General features: G+C 33.0%; 1 long non-coding RNA gene across 1 annotated transcript in view; it reads right to left on the bottom strand.

Moving 5' to 3' along the window:
- LINC01720 (long intergenic non-protein coding RNA 1720) overlaps positions 1-23059 on the bottom strand; it is a 176769-nt gene extending 153710 nt beyond the window's left edge. Inside the window, exon 1 of the long non-coding RNA NR_033922.2 lies at positions 22916-23059. This is a non-coding gene — a long non-coding RNA (long intergenic non-protein coding RNA 1720). The remainder of the gene's footprint in view (positions 1-22915) is intronic.
- Between the last annotated feature and the right edge of the window lie 643 nt (positions 23060-23702).

Genomic DNA, 23702 nt, shown 5'->3' with positions numbered 1-23702 from the left:
CGTCCCATTAGTTTCCCTCCCATGACACATGGGAATTATGGGAGCTACCATTCAAGATGAGATTTGGGTGAGGACACAGCCAAACCATATCACTGGGCTAATACATTTCCTGTCTGATTGACTTTAGGTACATTATACTAAATAATATGATCCTAAATTGCAGATTCTAGATTTCTATCAGTTGCTTTTTGAAGCAATAATATTGACTTTTGGACAAAATAACTTGTTTTTCTGATTGAACAGATCAGGTTGAAGATTGTCTGAGAATAATGGAATCCTAAATAATTTTAAGTCTTGTTAAAGGAAATATTATTCTGGTGTTGTGACATATGATAACAGATTTATCAGGCTTTTTAAGAGTTTGTCTTTCACAGATGCTAAGTTATAGAATACCTTTCGCTGATACTATTGTTTATATTTTAGGTTTGACACACACAAATGCACATGTATAGATCCATCCACACACATATGCACAATGTAAAATGTACACACGTTTCAAATATATACATCATTAAAAATGTATTTTGTGTTTCAACTTATTTTTTACTTTATGAAGTTAAATGGAGATTTTATTCTTCCTGACATGCAGTCTCTTGAAATTTATCTCTCAGACTTTCTCTGAACTCCTTAAGACATGATATCAAGAAAAGTACATAATACGTTGAGTTTATTGTGAAATGTATAAAACGAGGAGATGGAATCACCCTTGTCATTCAGAAGACACACCTTTTTATGCAGCCAAATGACACATTAATTTTTCTGACAGTCTCTAATAACATGAATAAATTATATATTGATATTTTAATCAACCTAAATCTTAATGTAGTTAGTTTATTCATGTGTTAGTTGTTTAGTTTTCTAAGTTTTAAAGCATATTTCCCAGTTTCCAAAAATAAAGTTGTGAAGGAATTCTTAAAAATTTTGATACTACCAATATAAGCACAAATTTTCTTGATGTTATATTTAAGGGGGACTTGGTTAAAAATTCTAAAATGTTTTTCCCGTTGAGATTGGATACGAAAAAAAAAAAGACCTAGAATATGAAATGAACCAGAATTTCTGTTGACATTTTGTAAGTGCATAAAAAATAATAGTTGGGGCCGGGCGCGGTGGCTCACGCCTGTAATCCCAGCACTTTGGGAGGCCGAGGCGGGCGGATCACGAGGTCAGGAGATCGAGACCATCCTGGCTAACACGGTGAAACCCCGTCTCTACTAAAAATACAAAAAATTAGCCGGGCGTGGTGGTGGGCGCCTGTAATCCCAGCTACTCGGGAGGCTGAGGCAGGAGAATGGCATGAACCCAAGAGGCGGAGCTTGCAGTGAGCCGGGATAGCGCCACTGCAGTCCAGCTTGGGCGAAAGAGTGAGACTCCGTCTCAAAAAAAAAAAAAAAAAAAACAATAAAAAATAATAGTTGGATCTTGCATGACATTAAATAGCTTATCAACCTATCAAAAGAAAGTAACTGATGGGTGAGAATAGACTGTGTTATACGAAAAAAGGAGTGGAACCTTAGGCATTGGTCTGTAAATACGAGAAATTATAGAGACATGATAAAACCTTTCAGATACATTAAATTAAATCATATAAAGGGAAGACTAGACTTCAAAGACACAGGGGTCAAAATGAAGAACAATACACAAAAACTACATGATTATTTCAAAGTACTACACACAAAAATTTGGCTACAAAGATTTTCAAAAGGAGAAGAATATTTTATTTTATTTTATTTTAGAGTTGAAGTTCTGCTCTGTTGCCTGGGCTGGAGTTCAGTGGTACAATCATAGCTCACAGCAGTCTCGGAATCCTGGGCTCAAGAAATCCTCATGCTTCAGCCTCCCTGAGTTGCTGAAATTACAAGCTTGAGACATTGCACACGACTTATGAGAAAAATCCTTTTAAAAAAACTATGAAGTTGTTTATGCAGTAAAAATATGGAATGTTGCAGAAGGATTCAAGTGCTGGTTTGTAGAGTAGATTTTACAGCATCAGAGCTCACGAAATCTCGGCAAACTTTTGATTCAACAAGACAGCACCACAGACATGAGAGATATTTCAGTAGAAACCAGATATTTGCATTTAATTTTTTTCCAATTCCATAAACTTGGGAGATTCAACAGATGGAATCCTAACAATTATATTTCTATATTAAAAATAAACTAAACATAAAATCTACTACTGAAAAACTCCTGCTTCTTACAATAAAACGATATACAATCATCCAACCCATAATAACATTTCAGTCAAGGATATACTGAATATAAGATTACAATGAAGCTAAATATATTCCATCACCTAGTGTCATTGTAGCTGTCATAATGTCCTAGTGCAATGCATTACTCACACATTTGTAGTGATACTCGTGTAAACAAACCCACTCACTGTTAGTTGTATAGAAGTGTAGTACATACAATATATACACTACATAGTACTGATAATAATAACAAATGGCTATGGTACAGGTTTATGTACATATTGAACTACACTTTTTGTCATTATCTTAGAGTGTACTCCTTCTACTTACAAAAAAAAAAATACAACTGTAAAACAGACTCAGGTAGGTTCTTCAGGAGGTATTCTCAAAGGAGTCATTATTATCACGGGACATGACAGCTCTATGTGTCTTATTGCCCCTGAATACCTTCCAGTGGGACAAGATACCTTCCAGTGGTAATACTGATTATCTTGACCCTCTGTAAGCCTAGCCTAATGTGAGTGTTTGTGTCTTCACTTTTAACAAAAAGTTTAAAAAATAAAAAAATTAAAATTAATAGTAGAAAAAAGCTTATAGAATAAAGGTATAAAGAAAGAAAACATTTTTGTACAGCTATAAAATGTGTTTGTGTTTTAAGCCAAAAGTTATTACAAGAGCCCAACAATTTTTAAAAATTAAAGAGCGTATAAAGTAAAAATCTTGCAGTAAACTAAGGTTAATTTACTGTTGAAGAAAGAACATTTTTATATAAATGTAGTGTAGCCTAAGTGTACAGTGTTTATGAAGCCTAATGTCCTAGGCCTTCATATTCACTCACCACTTACTTACTCACTGACTCACCCAGAGCAAGTTCTAGTTCCACAAGCTCTATTAATTGGTAAGTGTCTTATGTATGTGTACTATTTTTTATCTTTTATTCTATGTTTCTACTATACCTTTTCTATAGTAAAAATATAGAAGATACACAAATACTTACCATTGTGTTCTATTTGGCCACAGCATCAGTACAGTAACATTCTGTGTAGGTATGTAGCCTAAGAGCCATAGGCTAGACCGTATAGCATACGTGTGTAGCAGGCTATAGCATCTAGGATTCTGTAAGTGCCCTCTCCGATGTTCACATAACAACAAAATTACCTAACAACACATTTCTCAGAGGCTATCTTCATTGTTAGGTAATGTATGACTATACTGTTTCCCAATTTGTTTTTTACTATTTTAGTTATTAACATTTCAACAAAACTACAACCTCAACTACATTAATTTATTTTACTTAAATTGCCTTTTATAATCATGTTAATAGTCTCCATAATAAAATAAAATAAAATGTATTCATTTTCTTTTCTTACATTATCTGAAATTACATTAAAATAAAATTTTAAGCACCTCCCATATACTCCAATATTGATCTATGATATGGTCCCTAGGGTCAGATAGATCGAATTTGAATTAATTTTACTATTTACTAGTCTTGGGTTCACAGAGAAAATGTTATTCTATCAAAATCTTCAGTCTTTTCAACCTTAAAACAGATATATTAATAACTACATCAGAATGGTGTCGCATGGATTAAATGAGACTATGCATGAATGATGAATATTATAGAGTAAGAACCTTTGTGCACAATTAGGTGGTAAAGTTGACCATGCAGTCAGACTTATAGCTGAGAGAGTGAAGTAAACACTGAGAAGACTCATAATTAAATTCAATCAAAATGTTAATTCATAGTGTGGTTTTTTTTTTTTGCTATTGTTCCACTATTTGACTCATACTAATAATTGATAATCAACACATACTTTTATTCTTAGTTATTTTTAATTGGGTTTAGTGGTGTGTTATCAAGTACATACATTTCTTTATAGTAAAAAGAATAACAGATCAAATTTTAATCAGGTATTTCTGAAATAATGAATACCATTTTATTGCATAGTGCTTTAATTTAGTGAATGCCTTGCTAAAAAGATTCCCAGCGAGTATCTTGCCCCATTTTTGAAGGAAAATATCACAATGTATTCCTTTTATTTAATTACACATTGTCAAACTATGTGATCTCAGGATAGGTATTATATAATATGACGAAGTGTTTCAAAGTAGATTTCATTGATACTGTAAGAAAAAATAAGAAATTTTCTTTTGGAGAATGAAACTTTTTCCTAGAAATCATTGGTGGCATGTGTGACTTTAATGTATTATTATAACAGTATTTTGTGTACGTTGATTGACTCTAAAATTATTCATTCATTCATCTGCAAGAATATAGTTTAATCAAAACAATTGCTAATTCCTCAGACATTTCTAGGCTTTATATTAATAAGTGAGTCTTCAGTTACAGCTTCTAATTCAAATTAAAAACTCTTGCCTCGGGTTTAGAAGAAAAACTATATGGAATAGCAAAATAAAGGTAGTTGAATTACTTCTAAATATTTATTTTATGTGGCAGGAATTTTTTTATAATAACTAGCATTAAGAATACTGAGGTGCCTCGTTAGCGCAGTAGGTAGCGCGTCAGTGTCATAATCTGAAGAATACTAATGAGGAAAACAAACCAAAGACAGAGAACATATTTAGTCAGAAACGAAGGCATATAATTTTTAGATTCTGGAAGGAAATCAATAATACACATCAAATGAAAAATATCTAGTGGAATACAAATGTCTTGCCATTTACAAATTTTCCCATATTGTCTTTTATACAAAGCAGAAGTAAATATTGTAAACATATCAGAATTACAGTTTAGTTCATCATGTGCATAGTTTAGAAGGTTTAAACACTGACTTATAAAACAGTTGCCCACCATTTCACTTCTCTGCTTACTCAATCCGGGATGCCCCTTTCCTTTCATAATTTTCATTTACATACAAAGCTAGTATCTGCCACTAGGTTGAAAATAGCTACAGAACAGTGTTTAGTGTTTAGATATTTAAGTACTTTTAATTCTGTTCGCAAAGTTTACTAATGATTGCAAAAATCTAAAATTAAGTTGATAATACAAAGACATTAGTTCAAGTTGTGGAAGGTTAAGGTAACTTTTGTTAATGGCTACCTAATATACTATGAGTTAGATTTGGTTGATAATAGAAATAATAATGAATAAAATTCTCAGGAGATTTTAAGGGTTAGAAAATATTTTAATGTACTCAATTTTATTTCATCAAATTGAAAGACAGAATGAAAGATAGAATTCATTAACATTAAAACGAATAAATGATATACATGAAATTATCTATTTATTAAGTCTACATGTCACCTAATAGTTTGCTGCTGTTGTTGTTTTTTAAAAAATAGGTGATGGTGATGAGAGCAGCTGTTGGTAGACCTTAGAGATCAATGAGTAAACCAATGTCATATCAGGGCAGTGGTGGGCTATATTGTAGCTTTTGCCCACTGTTCTTGAGTGTCCCAGTCGTGGCCAGGAGGTTGTGGAGAGCAGGTAGCTGGGCAGGCAACTAGGTGCCATTATTGATGGTAATTGTCATGTCCCAGGGCATATGGGAAGTACAGGCATCCAGGCGTGTACCTGGCTATGAAGTGTAAACACTTGGTCTAGTTGTCCCTTAATTGCAAAAAAAATGCAGAGATTGAATAGTTGTCACAATAAGTGGGTGTCTTTCTCTGTGGAGTCATAGTTAATCATCTAATGAGAGCAGCATTAAAGAGTTATCACATGAATATTTTCTAAAACTCAGCTAATTATTTAAGAATGCTTACACTGATATAATAAAAGGCTTATACTTCATAAGACTTTATATATTTGACTATATCTGGTTATTTTGTGATAAAATTTATTTTAGTTAAATAATGAAAGTAGATGTCTGAATTTTGATGTTTATATTATTTTATTTTGTTTGACAAGTTTTCTTGTATACACACAAATTTAGCCACGTATAGGCTCCTGATTCATTTTTCTATTACTTGTTTAAAGGGGAGCTACTCTCAGAGTATAGCAAGCTATGTGTGTGTGTGTGTGTGTATATGTGTGTGTGTATGTGTGTGTGTATATATACACACACAATTACATGAATAAGAAGATGTATATGTATATGTGTGTGTATATATATACACACACACAATTACATGAATAGGAATATGGAAATAGTGGAAGAAAAAAATTTGTGATTTTTCTGTTATTCTTACTGTATACCAGCCATGAGGTAAAGTGTAGATTCATTTACACATCATGTCAAGTACAAACAAGTTTCAATATTCTCCCTTTTAATATAAATTTTTTAAACAGTAAAACAAGCAATTACAAGTAGGAATGAAAGAACAGCAATCCCTTAATGTTAGTTGCCAAAAAGAACGAAAAATTAGGTGAAGGAGAGTAGATAAATTGCACTTCTCCAGATAAACAAAGTTTGCAAAGATCCATCTAAGAAGAAATACAGTGCTTCCCTGATTGGTTACATTTGCTCCTAAGATCTCGCTTAGTTTTTCTATTTATCAAAGAAAGCTGAAAGGAATGTCAGTAAAATTTACCTTTTAGTGACAATTGGAAAATGGTGGCTGATTTTTTTGTCAATTAAATATTTTGTCGACTTTGATCTACTTTCTGTTACTATACAGATAAGTACTTTCACTATTTTGTATACATAGTGCTGCCAGGCAGATTCTAGTGACAATATTATTATTTATTCAGTGAAAAAAAAGTGAGCTACAATGAGAAAAATAAAGTCCAGGGAAAAAACAATATTGGCCTAAATAGGAAAAGTCAATTATGAATCTACCTTTGAGATTGCAAGTTCCCATTTCTATTATCATGAGATAACATACTAAAATTTTAAATAGGGTAAATGAAGTATATTTTCCTTTGGTATAACCGTGTAAAATTTTTAAAAAGCAATAAAAATTTTAAGAAATACTAAATGAATATAAAACTAAATGAAATTTAGCCCTTGTACCCTTTTTTTTTCTGTCTCTGTATTATAATGCTATTTCCAAAGAAGGTCTATGTGACAAGGTTCCCCTTCATTACATGGATGGAACTTCCATATATGAGCTTTATCAGAAAGAGAACAGTAGTTTGGCATTGAGTACTACCTGCATTGCAGTCACATGCAACTCAGAGATGTTAAAATTGTCCCTGTTTTGCTGATACAAGTGAGATATGACTGATTAAAATTTTTAATTTTAATGTTTAGTTTTACTTTTAAAAATTCCTATGGGTACATAGTAGGTGTATATATTGATGGGATACATGAGATGTTTTGATACAGGCATGCAATATGAAATAAGTACATCATGGAGAATGGGGTATTCATTTCCTCAAGCATTTATTCTTTGAGTCACAAACAATCCAATTACACTTTTAAAGTTATTTTTAAATGTACAATTACTATTGACTATAGTTATTCTATTATGCTATAGAATAGTAGGCATTATTCATTCTTTCTAACTAAGTACAGGAGTTAACACAGCTAGGACCACATAGACTTTAAAACCAGATCTATTTTAAAGTAGAATTTTAAGCAGTGTATCACAGGAATGCTCTATTGGGTGTCAGAGAGGAAATGTGTAATTCATGGAAGTTTAATTTCCAACACAGTATTTGTTTGCTTCCAGTAACACTTTTACTGTATTTTCATAGCTTGATATCTTTTCTTTCCTACCCCCTATATGAGCTGCTGTAGAAATAATGTAAACACAATTTAGCATTGATCATTTCCTGACTTAAACTAAATTATTTAGATTTTTTCTTTATTGATTTCCAACATCTCAAAGTCAACTGGCATTTAATTCATATACATCTGACACCTACCTTTATCAAATGTTAGCCAATAGGTTCTCCTAGCTCAGCAGACCTTTAATTCCAGTTATATTAATCTACTTATTTGTCCTCAACCTCTTCTTTACTCTTCATATATCCCTTTATTCATTCCACCTTTCCTTTACCCTGTAGCACATTTACTTAGCCATATATATTTATTAAAATTCTTCTAAAACTCAAAGGCAAATTGAATCCCACAGCCTCAAAGAAAACCTTCTAGATTCTCATAAGAAATGGTTTTTACCACTGAATCATTCTGAAGAGTAAGAATAAACTCTCATTTATCTGTGTCCATTTATTTATTCCCTACACCTCCTCGCCCCAAAAGGAAGAGTGGCAAACAAACTTTACAGTTTTCTTTTCTTTTTTTAACTTTTACTTTAGGTTCAGTGGTACATGTGCAGGTTTTTTAGATGGGTAGATTGTGTGTCACAGGTGTTCAGTGTACAGGTTATTTATTTTCCCAGGTAATAAGCATAGTACCTGATAGGTATTTTTTTGATCCTCTCCCTCCTCTCACCCTCCACCCTCCAAGTGCACATGTGTCAACGTGTACTCAATATTTAACTCCCAATTATAAGTGAGAACATGTAGTATTTGGTTTTCTGTTTCTGCACTATTTTGCTTGGGATAATGGCCTTCAAGTCTACCCATGTGGCTGCAAAGAACAAGATCTTGTTCTTTTTTGTGGCTACATAATATTCCATGGTGTATATATACTACTTTTTTTTTTTTAATCCAGCCTACCATTGATGGGTATTTAGGTTGACTCCATGTCTTTACTATTGTGGATAGTGCTGTGATGAACATATGCATGCAAGTGTCTTTATGGTAGAATGATTTATATTCCTTTGGATATATAGCCAAAAAATGGGATTAATATGTGGAATAGCAAATCTGTTTTAAGTTTTTTGAGGAATCACCACACTGCGTTGCACAAAGACTGGACTATGACAGTTATTACTCAACTATTTGACATGTTGAATCTGGTAAATATATCATGGTTTTGAAGCTCAATTTAAAGTTCTTATTCATATATTAATATAAAGTTCTTATTAAAAGACATCTAGTGCATTGCTATATGGAAAATATGCAATATGATATATGTGGTAAATATGCTATATTTATTCTATTTCCATAAATACTTTATTTCAAAATGAAAAACTTCATTTCAATAATGAAAACGACAATTTAAACTGTTTCCTAGCTATGCAAAAAGTTGGCACAACCAATTAGTTTAACAAAAGCATAACTTTGAAACTATTTTATCCAAAGTAATAATTGCCTTCAGTGCTGGTTTCCAAGCTGTGCTCCTGGTAGTCCTTGGAATTCTGTGAAGCTCTTTTAAAGGCCACCATAGCCCTATTCTCTTTCTACTTGGTCAAACTACTCTTATCTGAATTTTTAAAATAATGTGTCATAGTAAGATTGTCATTTGAAATTATGATTTTTTTTTGTAAAACCTAAATCAAATATCTTATTTGAAATGTATTGGTTAAAGTCAACCATGAGAGTATTAATAGTCCATTACTTCATATCTTTGCCTCTCTTTACACCAATATATTAAGTTTTATAAAGCTGACTAAAATTGTTTCTAGAAATCATCTTTGGATAAATATAAATAATGCAAGAGACCAGAGGTTTATATCAAAACTTTTAAAATGTTTTTTGTTGTTGTTACATATGTAATTCACAATAGGATAGTTTTAGGGCAGTAAGTATTTCTATGCTATAACTCTTTGTTTAGGACCCTTAGAAAATATGAACATTTGTTTCTTATGAAAAAAAAGATGAGCATAATATCTTAAATTCCTGTATTCATAAAATAGCTCTTTTTAAAAATAACATTTATAAAATCTATGCTGTTAATATGACTAGAATATATAATGGGATTATTTTATCATGGAGTTATAAATATTAACAAACATGATATACGATTAAACATGGTTGTTAAAGTTTTTTGTTTACTTTTATTCATTAAGTTTAATCAATAATAATAGTTTATATTAACCTGATTTTTCAAATGAAAACGCTAACTTCTAACATATTTTGCTATCGACTAACAAATACGAATGATGATTAAAGTCCACTGATTCAGAAGTGAACTATAGTTTACACTTTAGTCATATGAATTGATATGTTACATGAAACTGTTTTCTAGTAAATCTATTTTCAAGCAGGTTGCTAGTTAAATTTTTAAGAGAGGTTTGATATAAAAGGGTAAGAAAGAAACAACTGACTGGCTTAGTAGATATCAACATGAAAAAATACTGCTAGATAAAAACATATTTAGCAAAGATTTGAAAAATGTATGAGGTAGAAGTTGATATTCAGACCAGACTGAATTTTAGTAAAACAATTATTTGTTTTGAAAAAAAACACAGATCAGAAATCTGGATTTCATAATGTACTGGCACTTAGACCAGAATTTTATTAACACTACAAAACAAGTTTATCTTCAGGAAGATTTCACGCTTTCTTCTTGAAAAGAGAACTACACATCCACAGAAAGGAGAACTAATGATTTGGAGAGAAATAAGGTATTTAGTGGAGAATATTTAAGTTATTAAGCTTGTAAGACTTTCACTATGCCTGTAGATGACAGGACAAGAAAGAAACCCAAAATGGAATCAGATTTCTTCCTTTATAATCACTTAACATATAATTTAGATTAAGTCATTTTAAGTAAAGAACAAATACTATTCTGAAATAAACAAAGAAGCAAGGTCAAATTTGATCATATGAATTGATAAGACAATGGATGAAGTTTTGCCATTAAGAATCCTGGTAAGACCTTTTTATGTATAGAAATGCCACAGGTAAACTAAAGGTTTGAATACAGGAAAGTGTTATACTGGTCAATTGACTCAAATCTGTGTTAAAAATTATTAAGAAGCCTATCCGTGCTTCCAACTCATATTGACAAGCCTTACTCTTGATGTAAAGAAAATTAATTCTTATATACCCGAGTAGTTATACTAGTAATTTTTAAGCAAAATTATTTGACTGAATGATAATTGGCTACAAATAAAAAGACATAGTTCAATTAAATCAATTTTGACTTAATAAAAATAAGGTACACTATATACTTGACATATGGAGTTTGTGATAAATTATGGGTCAAGACATTAATTTAATATGTTCTATTCTTTACCTCTGAGGCAAATATCACATATAGTAGCATTTAAAAAAAATGGACATACTGCATAATATATTAATATTAGATGTATTTTAAATATCAAATTAATACTTTAATATGTATAATCAAAATAGTTTGTTTAATTATTTTCATGAGTAAGGCAAAGGTAAACCATTAGATTTTATTTTAAATATCAAATTAATACTTTCATATGTATAATAAAAATAGTTTGTTTCATTATTTTCATGAGTAAGGCAAAGGTAAACCATTAGATCTTTGTATCATAAGATTATAACTTGTAATAAAATAATTAAGGTCATTGAAGATGTTTTAGAATTTCATAGTTATTTACTTTCAAATAATTATTATGTGAGTAGGTTGTGCAAATGATAATACAGTTCTAGTAGAATATTAAAATGACTATTGTCTATGGTAATTATTATGGAGTGTGATTAAGTTGAGTTTGAAGTGGTATTGTTTGCAAATATATGGTTTATGATATAACCAATAGAAAGATACATTAATTAGAATTACTAAGAGCAGTTTCATATTTATTATAAATTTCAAATAAAATATTGAGAAAAAAGTTTACTTTTCTGTTCTGATTATTTTATAGTTAGTAAAAGGGATCTGCAAAACTAGTGGATTTCTTTCAAACATGAAATGTCTAACAAAGACATTTTAAAATATTTGTATTAAACCATAAAAATAAAATACTTTTAGATCTTCTGACATATGCCTTGCCATGCATCTGTGTATAAGAACATTTTCTCCTCTTGTTAAACACATGTAAAACAAATATTTAAAAGTAAAATAAATGAAAATCATTTGTATAATTTCTAATTTATGACTGTGTATGCAAAGGAAATTATTCTAATTCCTGTCTCAGAAAATTACAAATGATGGACTAGAAAATAAAGCAGACCATTTACACTGGCAGAGAAACAGAATGTGTCTTCTAACTATATATCAGCAAGTATTTTTATTTCAGATACTGAAAGAATATGATAGAGACGGAGGGGAGGGAGAAAGGTGGCCAAATAGAGGCATCCACCAATTGTCTTCCCCATAGGAACATCAAATTTGACAGCTATCTACACAAAATAGCACCTTCATAAGAACCAAAAATCAGGTGAGCAATCAGAATACCTGGTTTTAACTTCACACTGCTGGACATGGCACTGAAGAGGGTAGGAAAAACAGTCTTGAAGCACTTACATCACAACTTCCTCATCCTCTAGCAGTGGCCCAGTAGCATGCAGACAGAATCTGTGCACTTAGGCGACAAAGAGTTCAGCAATTGCGGGAACTCAGTGCTATTATCATGGGGCAAAATTTGGAGGGAGCCCACAGAGGGAGCATTTATGCCAGCTCTAACCAGAGAGGATCAACCTATCCAAGAAACTGGAACGTAAGTTTTGGCAAACCTCGTTGCCATGAGCTACAGTGCTCTGGGATTCTAAATAAGCTTGAAAGGCTGTCTAGGCCACAAGGACTGCAATTCCTAGACAAGTCATAGTGTCATACTGGGCGTGGAGCCGGTGAACTTGTGGGGCATGTGACCCAGTGAGATGTGAGCAGTGACAGTTTAAAAAGGGCTTGCACCACTACTCCCCCAACCCTGGCAAATCAGAACACAGCTCTGAAATACAGCCCTTCCTTCTGCTTGAGGAGAGGAGAAGGTAGAGTAAAGAGGACTTTGTTTTGCAACTTGGATATTACTTCAGCCACAGTAGTATAGGGCACTGGGAAGAGTTGTTAGGACCCCATTTCATGTTCTAGCTCCCAAATGATGTTTCTAGATACATTCTGAGCCAGAAGGGACATAACTGCCTTGAAAGGAAGGACTCAGTCTTGGTGGGATTTATCACCTGACTGAAGAGTTCTTGGGTCTTGAATAATCAGCAGTTGTAATTAGTTAGTACAAACCATGGGTCTTGGGTGAGACTCGGAGGTGTGTAGGCTTCAAGTGTGACCCAGCATATTCACAGCTGTGGTGGCTGTTAGGAAAGACCCCTCCTTCTTGAGAAAATAAGAGGGAAGAATAAAGGGAACTTTGTCTTACAGTTTAGGTGCCAGCTTGGCCACAGTGAGAAATAATACTAAGTGGGCTCTTGGGGCCTCCAATTCCAGGCCTTGGCTCTTGGACAGCATTTCTGAACCTACTCTGGGCCAGAGACTAGCCTACTGCCCCAAAGAGTGAATGTGTCACTGGGTCACATGCCCCACAAGTTTACTGGCTCCAAGCCCAATACGGCACTAGAACTTGCCTAGGAGTTGCAGTCCTTGTGGCCTAGAGAGCCTTTCAAGTTTATTTAGAACCCCAGAGCACTGTAGCTCATGGAAATGAGGTTTGCTAAAACTTAAGTTCCAACCACTGGGATAGGTGAGTCCTCGCTGGTTAGGGCTGGCATAAATGCTTCCTCTGTGAACACAGGTTGAGTTCTGCCCAGTGATAGCAGGCCTAGCAACATTCACCACAACCTGACTGAAGAGACCTTGGGCCCTAAGCAAACATCAGCAGTACCTTGGCAGTAGTCCACATGGGCCTGAAGTGGTGATAGACACAAGCGGAGACTTCACTGCCTGAGGAAATGGGAGAGAAGAGTTGGAAGAACTTTGTCTTGTGATTTTGATGTCAGCTTAGCTGCAGTGAAATAACACATCATGTGTTTTTTTTGGGTATCTGACTTCAGGTACTGGCTCTCAGAGAGCATCTCTGGATTTGCCCAGGACCCCAAGTCCATGGCACTTTCTGCCATGAGGGAAGGACATAAAGACTTCTGAATAGCTTTTGCTACCAGCTGATCATACAGCCCTAGGGTCTTCAGCAAACACAGCTAGTAGCCAAACGGTGGTTACAACGGGCTTTGGGCGAGACTCAGTGCTTTACTGACCTCAGGTCTGACCCAGCACAGTCCTAGTGGTGGTGGTCACAGGGGTAATTTTGTCACCCCACACCCAGCTCCAGGCAGGTTGGCACACACAGAGAGAGTTTCCATTTAGGGGGAGAAAGTAAGGAAATAGAACAAGAGCCTCTGCCTGGTTATCCAGAGAATTCTGCCAGATTGTATCCAAGACCACCAAGGTAGTACCTCTACAAGTCTGCAAGAACTACATTAATGGGCTTGAGGTGCCCTCTACTGTAGATACAGCTGCAGTGACCAAAAACTTAGATCACAACACCCAAGTCCCTTCAAATACCTGCAAAGCCTTCCTAAGAAGGAAGGGTACAAACAAGCCAAGACTGTGAAGACTACAGTAAATGCCTAACTCTTCAATACCCAGCCACCAGCAAAAATCCACAACCATGAACACCATCCAGAAAAAGATAATCTTACCAAATGAATTAAATAAGGCACAACGGACCAATCCCGGAAAGCAGAGATATGTTACCTTTCAGATAGATAATTCAAATAGCTGTTTTGAGGAAATGCAAAGAAATTCAAGAAAACACAGAGGAGGAATTGAGAATTTTATCTGATAAATTTAACAAAGGGATTTAAATAATTAGAAAGAGTCAAGTGGAAATTCTGGAGTCGAGAAATGTGATGAACATACAGGGTCTCTTAATAGGAGAATTGATCAAGCAGGAGGAAGAATTAGTCAATTTAAAGACAATCTCTATGAACATACACAATCAAAGGAGACAAAAAAAAAAAAAAAAGAACAAGAAACAATGAAGTACACCTACAGGATTTAAAAACGTAGCCTTAAAAGGGCAAATGTAGTAGTTATTGACCTTAAAGTGGAGGTAGAGAAAGAAACGGTGGTAGAAAGATTAGTCAAAGGAATAATAACATAAAACTTCCCAAAACTAGAGAAAAATATCAATATTGAAGTAAGAGAAGATTATAGAACACCAAGCAGATTTAACCCAAAGAAGACTATGTCAAGGCATTTAATAATCAAACTCCCAAAAATCAAAGATAAAGAAAGGATCCTAAAAGCAACAAAAGGAAACAAAACAAAACAAAACAAATAATATAGAATGGAGCTCCAGTACTTCTGGCAGGAAACTTTTCAGTGGAAACTTTACAGACCAGAAGAGAGTGACATGACACATTTAAAGTGCTGAAGGAAAAAATAATCCATTTACCTTACAATAGAATATCTGGCAAAAAAAATTCTTCAAACATGAAGGAGAAATGAAGACTTTCACAGACAAACAAAAGCTGAGGGATTTCATAAACACCAGGCCTGTCCTACAAAACAATGCTAAAGGGAGTTCTTCAGTCTGAAAGACAAGATGGAGCAATAAGAAATTATTTAAAGGTATAAAAGTCATGGGTAATAGTAAGTGCAGATAAAAATACAGAAAATTATAATACAGTAATTGTGGTGTTTAAATCACTCATATCTTGAGTAGGAAGATGAAAGATAAACCAATCAAAAACATTAACTATTAATACAACAACTTTTTAAGACAGCACAGTAAGACATAAAAAGAAACAACAAAATGCTAAAATGCGGGGAGATGAGTTTAAAATATGGAGTTTTTATTTGCTTTCATTTTGCTTGTTTGTTTATTTATGCAATCAGTGTTGACTTGTCATCAGTTTGAATAATGGGTTATAAAATAGTATTTGCAAGCCTCATGGTGACCTCAAATAAAGAAAAAAACATACAACGGATACAAAAAATAATATAAATAAATTAAAACATAACACCTGAAAAAAAATTACCTTTACTAAAAGAAAGACAGGAAGGAAGAAAATAAGGGAGAGAAAGAAGACCAGAAAACAACCAGAAAGCAAAGAAGAAAATAAAAGGAGTAAGTCCTTACTTATCCAAAGTAACATTGAATTTAAATGGATTGAATCCTCCAATCAAAAGACATAGAGTGGGTGGCAAAATGAACCACAACAACGAAAAAAGAACCATTTATCTGTTGCCTCAAGAAACACACTTCACCTGTAAGGACACACAGACTGAAAATAATGGGATGGAAAAAAAGATATTCTATGCAATTAGAAACCAAAAAGGAGCAGGAATAGCTATGCTTATAATGAACAATATAGATTTCAAGATAAAAACTATCAAGGCTATTATATAATGATAAAGGGATCAATACAACAAGATGATATAACAATTGTAAATGTATGTGCAACCAACACTTGGAACACCTAGGCATACAAAGCAAATATCATTAGAGCTAAAGAGAGAGAAAGACCCAAATACAATAATATCTGGAGACTTCAACATCCCGCTTTCAGTATCGGACAGATCATCTGGACAGAAAATCATCAGACTTAACGTGCACTGTAGGCCAAATGGACTTAGTAGATATTTACAGAATATTTCATCAAATGGCTACAGAATAAACATTCTTCTCCTCATCACATGGCTAATTTTCAATGATAGGTGATATGTTCAACCATAAAGCAAGTCTTAAAATATTCAAAAATATTGAAATAACATCAAGTATTTTCTTTGACCACAATGGAATAAAACTAGAAATTAACAACAAGAAAAATTTTGGAAACTATAAAACACAAGAAAATTAAATGATATAAACCTAAATGACCAGTGGGTCAATGAACAGATTAAGAATAACATTTTTTTAAATGTTGAAAAAATATTATAATGAAAACACCATGTACCAAAATACATGGGATACCACAAAAGCAGTAGAAAGAGGGAAGTTTATAAGTGCCCACATCAAAAAAAAAAAAAAAAAAAGAAAAAAGAAAAAACCTAATAGCCAACCTAACGTTCATCTGAAAGAACCAGAAAAGCAAGAGCAAACGAAATGCCAAGCTAGTTGAAGAAAAGAAATAATAAAGAACAAAGTGGACATAAATAACATTGAAACAAAGAAAAATACAAAAGGTCGACTAATTGAAAACTCTTTTTTTAAGAAGAAAATAAATGAGAGAGAGAGAGAGAGAGAAGACCCAAATAAATAACATAAGAGATGAAAACAGAGACATTAGTGCTGTTAGTGCAAAATTTCAAGTGATCATTAGAGGCTACACTATATGCCAATAAATTGGCATACCGTTGCTCATATTAGTCTCTAAAGAGGAAATGGATAAATTCCTCGACACATACAAGTGAACTGTGAAGAAATTCAAACCTGAACAAACCAATGACAAGTAATGAGATCAAATCCATAATAAAATGACTCTAGCAAATAAAAGTCAAGGACCCAGTGGTTTCACTGCTGAATTTTATCAAATATTTAAATAACATATGCCAATCCTACACAAACTATTCCAAAAAACAGAGGCAGAAGGAATACTTTCAAACCCATTCTATGAGGCCAGTATTACCCTGATATCAAAACTAGACAAAGACACATAAAACAAAAAACTACAGGCCAATATCTCTGTTGAACATTTATGCAAAAATCCTTAACAAAATACTAGCAAAGAAAATTCAAAAATATATTAAAAGATTCTTCATCATGACCAAGTTGGAATTATCCCAAGGATGCAAGGATGGTTCAACATAGGCGTATCAATCAGTGTGATATACTATATCAACAGAATAAAGGACAGAAAACAATATGATCATTTTAATTGATGTTGAAAAATTATTTGATAAAATTCAACACCCTGTCATGATAAAAACTCTAGAACTTAAAGTATAATAAGAATATATATTTAAAAAAACTGTAAAAAAACCTGGGTAAAGAATGAACATACATCAGCATAATAAAAGCCATACCTGACAGACCCAAAGCTAGTATCATACTGAATGAGGAAAAACTGAAAGGCTTTCTTCTAAGATTTGAAACATGACAACGATGTCCACTTTTATCACTGTTATTCAACATAGCATTGAAAGTTCTAGACAGAGCAATCACATAAAAGAAAGAGATAAAGGGCATCCCAATTGAAAAGGAAAAATCAAAGTATCCTTGTTTTCAGATTACATGATTTTATACTTGGAAAAACCTAAATAATCCACGAAAAAACTATTAGAACTGATAAGCAAATTCAGTAAGGTTGAAGGATACAAAATTAACATATAAAGTCAGTAGCATTTCTACATGCCAACAGAAAATAATCTGAGAAGGAAATCAAGAAAGTAATAGCATTTATAATATCTGAAAATACAATTAAATACCTAGAGATTAACTTAATCAAACAACTTAAAGATTCCTACAGTGAAAACTGAAACATTGGTGAGAGAAGTTAAAGTGAACACACACACAAAAAAATGGAGAGGTATTCTATGTTCATGGATTGAAAGAATCAATATTGTTAAAAATGTCCATACCACCCAAGCAATCTACAGATTCACTTTAATCCCTATCAGAATACCAATGACATTCTTCAATAAAGTAGAAATAACATTGTAAAATTTATGTGGAAGCATAAAAGACCCAGAATAACCAAAGTTATACTGGGCAAAAGCAACAGAACTGGAGAAATCACATTATCTTACTTCAAATTACACTACGGAGCTATAGTAACCAATACAGCATGGTACTGGCATAAAAACAGACACATAGAGCAATGCAACAGGAAACAATACCCAGAAACAAATCCATACATCTACAGTGAACTCATTTTAGACAATGGTGTCAGGAATATACAATGGGAAAACGACGATGTCTTCAATAAATGCCCCTGGAAAAAAATTGATATATATATGCAGAAGAATGAAACTAAATTCCTGTTTCTCACCATATCCAAAAGTCTAATTAAAATAGTTTAAAGACTTAATCTAAGATCTCAAACTATGAATGTGAAATAAAACATTGAGTAAATTCTTCATTACATTGGAGTGGGCAAGGACTTCTTGAGTAATATCCCACATGCGCAGGCAGCCAAAGCAAAAATGGACAAATTGAATCACATCAAGTTAAAAAAGCTTCTACACAGCAAAGGATACAGTCAACGAAGTGAAGAGACAACCCACAGAATGGGAGTATTTCCAAACTACCCATATGACAAGAGATTAATAACCAGAAGAGACAACCCACAGAATGGGAGTATTTCCAAACTACCCATATGACAAGAGATTAATAACCAGAATATATGAAGAACTCAAACAACTCTATTAGAAAAAAATCTAATAATCTGATTTTTAAACTGGGCAAAATATCTGAATAGACACTTCTCAAATGACATACAAATGACAAACAGGTATATGAAAAGGTGCTTATCATCGTTTATCATCAGAGAAACGCCAATCAAAACTACCATGAGATAGCATCTCACTCCAGTTAAAATGGCTTTTATCCAAGAAAACAGACAGTAACAAATGCTGGTAACACTCTTCACAATAGCTAAAATTTAGAAGTGACCTAAGTTTCCATCAACAGATGAATGGATAAAGAAAATGTGATAAATATACGAAATGGAGTACTACTCACCATAAAAAAGAATGAAATCCTGTCATTTGCAACAACATGGATGGAATGGAAGTCATTATGTTAGGTAAAATAAAGCAGACACAGAAACACAAACTATGCATGTTCTCATTTATTTGAGGGACCTAAAAAGAAAACAATTGAACTCAGACAACGAGAGGAATATGGTGGTTTACAATGGCTGGGAAGTGTAGTATGGGGTCAGGGGATGTGGACATGGGTAAGGGGTACTAAAAAAAACGAAAGAATGAATAAGATCTACTATTTGATAGCACAATAAAGTGAACATAGTCAATAATACTATCATATACTTTTAAGTAACTAAGAGTACAATAAGATTGTTAGTAATATAAAGAATAATTGCTTGAGGTATTGGGTACCCTGTTTACCCTAATATGATTATTACACATTGTATGCCTGTATCAAAATATCCCATGTACCCTATAAAAATATATACCTACTATGTACCAACAAAAATTAAAAGTAAAATTAAAAATATATATAATAGAAATTCTAGAACAACATATAAAAATCTATGTGCATTATAAAGCTGATATATCAAATTACTAAAGTAGAGATAGTCTTCTTAATAAATGATATTGGGATAAGTGCATAAATGTCTGGAAAAAGATGCAATATGATTCATCCCACATGTCACAAAAAAATGAAGGAGTAAACTCCAAATGTGTTTATCAGAGATCTTAAAAGAAAAATAAGTTTATAGAAATACTAAAAATAATTATTGGCTAATTCTTCTACAATCTGGGAAAAGACCTTCTAACTATGATGGTAAATTCAGATGTAATAAAATAAACTATTGATATATTTGATTATATAAATATAAAAGAAAACTTTTGCAAAACAAAAACAGCACAAGTGATTTCAAAGCAAATGACAAACTACGAGAAAATATTTGTGACTTTTTGCACAGGTAAGGGCTAATATCCATAATATTAAAAGAATTTTTAAACATCAAAGGGTAAAAAGAATAAATATGTGGCAATATCAACAAAAGTTACAAACAATTCTAACAAATAATATAAGACTGACTCAAACATATAAAAAGACTTTCAACTTTATTAATAAGATAAATGCAAATTAACACTGCCTAGAGTACTATTTCCTACTCATTAGATTGGCAAAAGTGAAAATCTCGACAATCCACTGTTTAGTGAAGTCGAAGGAAAAGAAATAATCTCATTTAAAGTTTGTGGAAATGCAAAATAGTATAACTCCTGTGGAAGGCAATTTAATATTACTTAACATATCTGCATAGGTAATGTATTAGTCTGCTGGGACACCATAACAAAATATCGCAGAGTGGATAGCTTAATCAACAAAAAATTCTTCTATTACTGTTCTGTACAAGTCCAAGATGCAGGTGTCAGCGATTTAGTTTTTCTGAGTCCTCTCTTTTTTGGCTAGAAGGTGGGCATCTTCTCACTGTGTCCCAAGTGGTCATTTCTCTCTGTGTGTATACTTTTTGTGTCACTCTGTGCTCTACTCTAAGGGCCCCATGTTAACTTTATCACCTCTTCAAAAGCCCTAATATAGTCATATTCTGAGGTACTTGGGGTTGTGCTCCAGCATATAAACTTTGGGGAGTCACAATTTAGCCCATAAGAGGTAGACAGCTACTTTTCATCCCAACTATGCCACTTCCAATAATTTACCCTGAAAAACATCTTTAATAATGAAAATTAGATATGGACAAGATAGTCACTGAAGCATCATTTACAAGTAATCACAAAATATGTGAAACTATCTAAATGTCCAGGTATAGAAGATCACTAGAATCTATTGTAGTGTATTAAGTGTGGAGTTCAGCCTGGCTATGAAAAAGAAGAAAGAAGATCTCCGTGAATGATTTGGAGTGAGTTTTAGGAGATATTGTTAAGTCCAAAACGCAAAGGACATGCACAGTGTACTAAATATTATGTCAGAAAATGGGGGAAATATACAGTTATGTATGAAGATAAACATCCACACATATACACACACACTTACATAAATATACACACACGTGCATACACCCATCCATACATACCTTTATGACCATTACAAAAGGAAACAGAGGAAGGAAAAACCAGAAAACAATGAAGTCGAATACCTACAAAGGTTGAAAATAAGGGTGAACGATATATGAGAAAGAGTAACAATTTTTTGGGGTTAAACTTTTCCAGTGTTTTGACTTTTAAATTATGTCATATGTATTTTTAAAGGAAAATTAAATCAACTAGAATGAGAAGGGAAAAAATAAGCTGGAACAAAGCACTGTAATTATATTTCAAAAAAATAGCTACATTGAAAAAAGTAAGAGACAGAACGAAAAAAAAGAAAAAGGAAAGAAGAAAAAGTACTTTATGAATAAAATATTTAACTATATGCCTTCAGTCTTAGGTAATCAGGAGATGACAAATCTCTAATTTGTGTGTGTGTGTGTGTGTGTGTGTGTGTGTGTGTGTGTGTGTGTGTATATATTTGTATTCATATGAATGAAACAGCTCTGAAAACATTTCAGATGTCTTATCAAATTGATCTAACAAGTAAATGTGTTGATTTTGTCTAAAGTTGGGTTTTCACTGAGAAAGAAGAGATATATACACATGAAATAGAGAAAGGCAACAAGAACTCCATGGGGATAGACTGAAATTGGTGGGATAGGCGTGAACTCATGATTCTAAAATATTCATATATATGTGTACATGCATTTATAGTTATTTATGAGTCTCTATGCACATATGTATGTATGTTTATGTACATATATATAAAAGTATATGCACACATTTTCTTCCACTATCTGGTAAAAAGCCTAGATGCTAAGACACTCCAGTAACAATGGGAACATATGCTCAGGTCTTATTTTCTAATCTCTTTTTATTTTTTCTTTTTTTGAGAGGAAGTCTTACTCTTGTTACCCAGACTAGTGTGCAATGGTGCAATCTCGGCTCACTGAAACCTCTGCTCCCGTGTTCAAGCAATTCTCCTGCTTAAGCGTCTTGAGTGGCTGGGACTACAGGCATGTGGCACCACACCAGCCTAATTTCTATATTTTTAGTAGCGACGGGGTTTCACCATGTTGGCCAGGATGGCCTTGAAGTCCTGACCTCAGGCGATCGCCCGCCTCGGCCTCCCAAAGTGCTGGGATTACAGGTATGAGCCACTGTGCCCAGCCTTAGTATCATTTTTTAAAAAGAAACCAGGGCTCCACAAAGAATGGTAGATTCCAGTCAGAGTAGAGTAGAGACAAAATAAACTTGAAATATGTCCAAAAGTAAGAAAATACTAAAAGAAATGATATTACCTGTCATAAGGATAATAGCTAGTCCTAAAGTACAGATATGGGACAATTTGAGCATGAAAATAAAGACAGCAATCAATTGTAAACATTTGAGTAAAAAAGAATTCTTAAATCTTCAGCAATCCTAAATACATACATGCATAAATGAGACAGGAATACTATTTCTTACCTTGAAATGCTGAGTACTTCTTGATAAATGCAGATTAAGTGATGTCGTTTAAATATTAGGTTGGTACAAACGTAATTGCAGGTTTTGATATTAATAATCCTTTTTGCAAATTAAAGACTGGTGAAAGAGAGAAGTATAGTCACCAACGGTTGAAAACTTGAGGAGGGAAGTTCTGAGCAAAAAAAAAAAGAGAGAGAGGGAGATATTTGCATGAACTTAAAGTGTGTTTCCACAGACTACAAGGAAAAGAACAGTAACTACAAAAGAAAAACAAGCAACTGAAATTAATATCACTGATGAGCAACAGACAGACATCACATGCCTCATGAAGTGATGTTCTGAAAATCACACAACATATCTTTTATAGTATTCTGGCTGAAAATATATAAACTTGTTTAAATCATGAGATTGTATCAAACAAAATCAAATTGAAGATTTGTTTTTATTATTAAATAAGGGGGGGGTGGATTGGGAGAACTATAATTGAAAATGTCATTGTCGATAAAATGGCCTTGGAAATACTTCAGGTTAAAATACACTAGAGATACATGACAACTTAATGTCATATGTAATCTAGACTGGACATTGCACTGGAGGAGAGAAAAAGCTATTAATGGACAAGCTAACAAAATTAGAATGTAATGGCAGATTACAGTACTATACTGAGAGTAAACATACTGAAGTTGATAACTATTCTGTAATTATGCAGCTGAATGTGTTTATTCTTAGGAAATACATATGAAAATATTTAGAGAAACATGTTACCTGTGACTCATTCTCAAAGGTT

The sequence above is a fragment of the Homo sapiens genome, chromosome 1 (assembly GCF_000001405.40).
Source record: "Homo sapiens chromosome 1, GRCh38.p14 Primary Assembly".
In the NCBI taxonomy this organism is placed as follows: Eukaryota; Metazoa; Chordata; class Mammalia; order Primates; family Hominidae; genus Homo; species Homo sapiens.
This window is presented reverse-complemented; position numbering and strand designations above follow the sequence as displayed.